The 6,803-nt window shown below is 51.1% G+C and overlaps 1 annotated feature.

Annotated features, from left to right (window-relative positions):
• Positions 4,299-4,593: an enhancer, noted in NCBI's record as "tiled region #13881; K562 Activating non-DNase unmatched - State 21:Repr, and HepG2 Activating non-DNase unmatched - State 22:ReprW". NCBI's record gives its function as "activates a minimal TATA promoter and a strong SV40 promoter by Sharpr-MPRA in K562 cells, with weaker activity in HepG2 cells {active_cell/tissue: K562 | HepG2}" and the evidence as "EXISTENCE:reporter gene assay evidence [ECO:0000049][PMID:27701403]".

Genomic DNA, 6,803 nt, shown 5'->3' on the forward strand with positions numbered 1-6,803 from the left:
TTTGACCAGTTACTCAATCTGCAAATCCACAAGCAGGACCATGGCTCTTTGTAGCCCTATGGGTGCTTGGCATGCATGTTAAATGGACCAGTTATAGCCAAGATGACACTTCTGAAGGGTGGGGCTGCCCCAGCTATGTGAAGCCCCTAGAGATGAAGAATAAAGAGGGCTGGCTGCACACAGAGAAGAAAAACACCACCCAGGAACCTCAGTTACTTTGCCCTTCTGCCTTCTGAACGGAAGCCGCCAGTTCTGCCAGGCAACATGCTGTTTCCCCTGAGTCTTTTTTTTTCACTTCAGAAACTATGGGAGATACATGTAAACACTCTAAATGTATAGGCTCATTTTCCAGTAAGTACAAAAGTGGATGGGTGGGTGGATGGATGGATGGATGGATCGGTTAATGGAAGAAAGGAAGGGTGAGAGGAGGGAAGGAAGGAGGAAAGGAAGGAGGGAGGGAGAGAAGGAGGGAGGAGGAAAGGGAAAGATATGCTGTATAGTAAACTTTCCAATCTAATTGAACCCAAAACTTACAATAACTTCAGTTTCCCAACTGTGAAATTAAACTGCTTCTTTCTATAGGCTTTATCTTTGCCTTATAAAATTTGGTTTAGATAAATTAGACAAAACTTCTGATCTTCTACCACCAAATCCCTACAGGAAGCCCCTGGAAACTTCCTTTACACTACCACGTTGTCTACTGCATTTTTCCCAGTTGAACTCAAGAAGAGCAGGGCTTGATTGTGGCCGGTGTCCAGATTCACGCCTCATCGTTTCTCCCACCGATGTCCCCACCAGTCAGTGACACCATCATTGTCCTTGGGTCCCAGTCCAAACATCTCAAAGCCATGTTTTACCTCTGTGCCCTTCACTCCACCCACTCCATGTTCAATAGCGATGGAGCAGGCTTGGGCGCGTACATCTCTGAAATGACATAAACGATGTAAAAGAGCTTTTTGAAAAAGCAATTGTAAGAACGAACGTCTCCTCTTCCCCTCCATTTCCATTGGAGTTTATACAACTGAATGGGCTAAAGTTTTCTGCAAAATCCCTCCTCCAGGTTCCCTCTCCTCATTCCTCAGGGCCCCCCAAGGGAAGGGCAATTATTGCTTTAGTACCTGCTTGCAAAATGATTTTCCAAGGATGGATTTCAAGTTCAGCTTCTCAAGCTTGCAAATGTGGCATCTCAAGGAGACCCACCAACCCGCCTGCCCCCATCTGCCCACCTGCCGAGGCTTGCTCAGTGCCAGCCCTCTCTGCTGCGGCAGCTCCAGCCTCCGCATCCTCCAGTGTCCAGCACAAGCACAGTTTCCCCACCTGGACCCCATTGCTGGCCTTCCCATGCTGATTTGGAGTGACATCAAGACACTCACACAGTGGCCAAGGAGAAGTTGAAGGGAGGTTTCTGAATGCATCTTTCCTCCCAAACATGCTGAGCAGTTCTGCAGGGCAGAACCAGGTCACTGCACATCCCCGTGTGTCTTTATTACGATTGCTTATAAAATGAATAAACGGTCTCCCATCCGAGTACTAACCAGGCCCGACCTGTAGTCCCAGCTACTTGGGAGGCTGAGGCAGGAGAATTGCTTGAACCTGGAGCGCAGAGGACCGGCTCGAATGTGAAAACATGGGCAGGTATTTGCTAGCAAGACAGGGAACAAGCGGCTTCCTGATAATAGAAACAGAGGCGGGGGCGATGCTGAGACCTGACCCCACAGTGGTCCCTGAAGAACGAAGGGTGGGCACGGCGACGTGAGGGCCTGGGGGGCCCAGGGAATGCGGTGGGACCCTGGAGGGCACGTAGCCACGCTGGGCAATTGTGATTGGGCTGCCACGCTGGCCTCCAAGCATCGCTGAGCACAGGGGCCATGATCAGAGGTGTGTTTGCGCAAGGCCATTGCAGCAGGGTGAGGAGGGTAGATTTGGACGCGAGTGGGAATGAGGTGAGGGAGGGATGAGGGCGGGTCAGGTGGTTGCTGCGGTCAAGTCCTGGACAGCAGGAGCAGTCTCCAGGGGTGCCTCAGAGCGGACTCTAAAGGCCATCGTGTACATCTCCTCAGCTGCGGTACAGACTACCCCAAGCCAGGCAGCTTAAAACAACAGAAATGTATTCTCCCGCAATTCTGGACCGCTCGGGTCCAAAATCCAGGCGTCGACAGGGCCGTGCTAGGGCTGGAGGCTCTGGGGGAGAATCCAGAATCTGCTCCAGGTCTCTCTCCCAGCTCCCAGGGGTGCTGGGAGCCCTGGAGCCCTTTGGCTGTGGACTCATCCCTCGGATCTCTGCCTCTGCCGTCCGTGGCCTTCTCGCTGTGTGTGTTCACATCGTCTCCCTCCGCCTGTGCTGTCTCTGGGTCTCTTCTCCTCTTGTAAGGGTAGCATTCAGGGGCTTAGGGCCCACCTTAAACCAGTATAACCTCATCTTAACTTGATGACATCTGCAAAGATCCCATTTCCAAATAAGGCCACATTCACAGGTATCACGGGTTAGGGCTTCGACATGTCTTTGTTGGGGACCCAATACCACCCGTAAGAGGCCTGGTGCTTGGCGGGGGCTGCAGGAGGCAGGGCAGAGCAGGGCTTCAGCCAAGGGCCAGGTTGGCCCGGAAGCTGGTTCGATTCCCTGGAAGGGGCCGAGGGCAGGAGGTACTGTTCCGTGTGGCTTTGGGGCTTCCTGCTGCAACGGGCTCCGGGCAGAGAGGCCTCCGCTGCCTGCCAAGGTTTTAGTTGCTGCCGCTTCTCCCTTATGTTCCTCCAAATCTCCCGCTGCCCCCATCTGAACCTCAGAAGCATGCTATGGGGGCAGGGGTTCCCGGTCCTCAGCTTCAGGAGGCTGGATCTACTCCTAACTGGGGTAATCTGTTTGCTTCTTTCCCAGGGGACAGGTTCCCAAAAGGCGTACCCAGAGCAGAAAGCTGAACATCTAACCAGTCTCTGCCTCCTGATGCAGACCGATGTTGTGGGAAGACCCGAGAGTCAGGACCCAGGCGTGTGAGAGTCCAGCCCCAGTCCTGCCCTGCAGGGCCTGTTCCATCTCACCGGGCTCCAGTCTTCTCACCTAGAAAATGAGGGCTTCTGATGCAAAGTCTCTAAGGAGCTTTTCAGCTTTAAAGCGTTCTGAATCCCATTTTCCCGCTGACTGACATTCTAATTTCACAGCGGGCTTATCTCCCCCTCAGAAGGGTCTTCAGCCGCAGCAGGGCCTTCCGTTTTTGCTTAAATCGCTCTGACCTTTTTATCAAGCAGTTCATAAACGCCCTTGCGCTAGGAGCGGCCGTCGCCCTGTGGTCCCCGGAGAGGGTCCTCCGAGGACTCTGAAAGCCGCTTCCATGGTTGGCGCCGAGCACAGGCGGCTCCCTCTGGCTTCCGCAGGCACGGACGGGGTTTGCCCAGAGACACCCTGCTCAGCACTGCCAAGCTGGAAAACAAGTGGGTGGGGGCAGCCGCCGGGAGGGGCCAGCAAACCGGGCCCTCATCCAGGAGCAAATTCCACCTTCAGTGCCTCACTTTTATCTCCAGATGGGCGCGTCCTTGTGAGAAACCACAGTATTGTCCCTCACCCATGAAGGGAGGCGTGGACGTGATCCCAAAGCCCCTATGTTAGACGGTCCAGCCTCACCTGAGCAGTCACATGGACCTGCCCGGTCCTTTGACCTCAACACCACACACTTCCCACCCCTGCGGCAGGAAGGCGAGGCAGGAAGCATCCACACAAACCTGAGTATATCACAGTGGCACCACCAACGTGCCGGCTGCAAAGTTGATTTTCTAAACCAGAGGCAGCAAAATGGACCCGCTGGGGAATTCTTGTATCTTGCCTAGCATTTATATTAATATTTGGGGGTATCATTTAATTGATTAGTCATTACTGCATACAAGGTTATAAGAGTCGAGAAGTATAAAATCTATATGTTAAAATTTTAAGAAAAAAATGTCAAGTAGAACTAGCCAGACTGACATCATTAATCTGGTACCTGCACACACTTGTCTTATAAAGTGCGAGGAAAATGGATATTTTTCTTACATATTATGCAATTATGTATGGCATATTACCTGTCTCTGTAGCTTGAAAATCATTACACTGGTCAAGCTGTCCCACTAGTAAAAGCAGACGACCACTTCATAGGTTAAAAAGACATCTGCAAGCTATTTAATACTAAGCTTCATTCCATTAACCTTCATTTTTGTCTCAAAATAATCCTGACCATTTAATATATAACCCCTCACTCCAAAAAGCATTGATTGTACTGTGAAAACATGATTCTTCAGGCATGGGATTTGCTTGTTTACCAATTATTCTCCTTTCCTGGCTAGAACCCTAAAATAATATCAGCAACTGCTGGGAGGGAGGGAGGGAAGGGGAGGAGTCAGACTCGGAGGACACGTCTGACAAAGAGGCAAAGGAAGCTCCTTGCTGCTGCTGCTGTCCTTGCTGCTGTTCTGCCTGGGCTTCGTTTTACAGGATCAATGTTGGGGTGTCACCGGGTCAACGGCAGGGAGGTCTCTCAGCAGGGACACCCAGGCCCAGCGAACACACTGATGCACCGTGCTCATATACCGGCCGGTGATCACTTCGGCTTCTTTGGGGGAAGAATTTCCGGCCTGAGCCATCACATTCCAGGGAGTTCCTGAGGACAAAGGGTATCATGGAGTCTCTGGGCACAGCCCCTCGCTCCTCTGCAGGACCTGAATGGTCACCCCACAGCAACAGAGCCGGCACACCCTCAGCACGGCTGCAGCATAGCTCTTGTCCACTCCTTCTATGGCGAGCAGGATGGCATCACCCACGGGGCCTGCCGTACCCACCAGCAGCACCTAGAGAGGGACAAGAGGAGACAGGGCACTGCCTCCTCTGGGACAGGTGTCGAATGGAGTCAAGATCTCCTGATTGTCAGAGACCAAGGGGTCAAAAGGACCCATGCCCCCAGCACCTTCCCCAGCCTATGAGCAAGCCATGGTCCCATGCTTTCCTCCAAAGCCATGGAAATGGTACTGTGGGCAGGGAGAGGTCTCTTTAGCCACAGACACCTGGCTCCCCCTTCATCTTGAGGGCAATATTTCTCTGGTGGGTTGGAAGTGCTCATTACTCACATTGGGAATGACACTTCTGGGGTGCCCAGTGTCAGGGACTTTGGGAGGGATTGCATTCCTCTCAGTAAAGTGGCAGGGAACACAGAAGCTTATGGCAAGCGTTGGACCAAATACCAATGAAAATACCAGACAGAGTAGCTTACAAACACATTTCCAAAGAATTTCCCTTGTACTCATGGATGGAGTTCACCTACCTTTCTCTCAACACTGGACTCAGGCAATGCTGGAGAGTAATCCAATTTCATGCAATTCAATGAATACAGTGAGGCCAAGGGGGAAAAGCCCCCTCCTTCCCCTGAGAAGGCTCGCAGACCTCCAGGCAAGCAAAGTGCTATGATGGGCTGTGCCGTGCGGCACAGTGGAGGGCAGAAGAAACTCACGGCATCAGCAGGGCTGGCAGGGCAGGCACTCACAGTGAGGCAGGAAGGTGAGCTCGTTGTCAGGCACAGGAGACACAAGCAGGAGGTGAAGGAGGATCAATGGGGAGACAAGCCATGAGCCGCACTCCCTGGAGAGCCAAAGGGCTAGCAGGCAGAGGAAGAGGGTGGCAGGAGGGTGTGGCTGAAGTCAAGCAGGAGAGCAGCTTTGGGGAATGGAGACCAGGATGGGCTTCCTGGAAGAGAAGTAAGGGAAGTGAGGGAGCCAGTCTGCTGCCCACCAGACCAGAGTTCACTGGGCGGGAGGGAGCTGGGAATAAAGACACAGGACCCAGCAGTCCCTCTTCCTCCTCCTGCCCTCCCACTGCCACCCACACAAAATCAGCCATGGGACACTCAGGAAAAGGAGAGTCCTCAAAACGAAGACAACAAGAGACAGAGAAAAGGCAGCAGATATTTAGATGTGTATCTAAATATCAGGGGCAATAGACACATATCCCCCATTCTGACCTCACATTTACAAATTTAATTCCATATAGATTGTAAGTCTCACCATGAAAGGTGAAATAATAAAACTTTAAGAAAATATGGGAAAAGAAAAAAAAGCACTAAAACCACAAAAGGAAAAAAAAAGGTACATTGAGCCACATGAACATAAGAAGTATTATTCATCAAAAGACACCACTGAGAGGGAAATTCAGACCACAGAAAAGACATTCATAAGACACGCATTTGGCAAAGGACTTGGGCAAATCAACAAGAAAAATCCAATAAATCCAGACAATTCAAAGAAATGGGCAAATGACTTGGACAGGTACTATGCAGAAGAGGATAGCCGCGTGGCTAGTAAACAGATGAAAAAATGGTTGATATCTCCCACAGGGCAATGCAACACCCTGCACACGTGAGAACTACTGACGTGACAAAGGCAGTACCCAGCGTGGAAGGGAGTGCAACATGAGCTCTCATCTCTATTGAGAAAGCGTTCACTCATCCATTCCAGAACAGGGTTTGCAGGATCTACTGATGCTGAGAACACATCTCCCTATGGCCCAGAAACCCTGTTCCTAGGCATTCACACAACAGCAACGAGTATGTGTGTGCATCCAAAGACAAATCCACACATCATCACAACAGCAAGATTCATAGTTGCCAAAATCTAGAAACAACCCAATGCCCACCTACAGTAGAATGGATCCCTAATTGCGGTGTGTTCACACAGTCAAAGCTATACCGCAACAATGAAGATGAACAAGTTTCAACTAGACACAACAAAAGGGATTTATCTCACATATAATGGTGAGCAAAAAAAGCAGGCACAAAAGCGCACACAGTGTG

The sequence above is a fragment of the Homo sapiens genome, chromosome 5, assembly GCF_000001405.40.
Source record: "Homo sapiens chromosome 5, GRCh38.p14 Primary Assembly".
In the NCBI taxonomy this organism is placed as follows: Eukaryota; Metazoa; Chordata; class Mammalia; order Primates; family Hominidae; genus Homo; species Homo sapiens.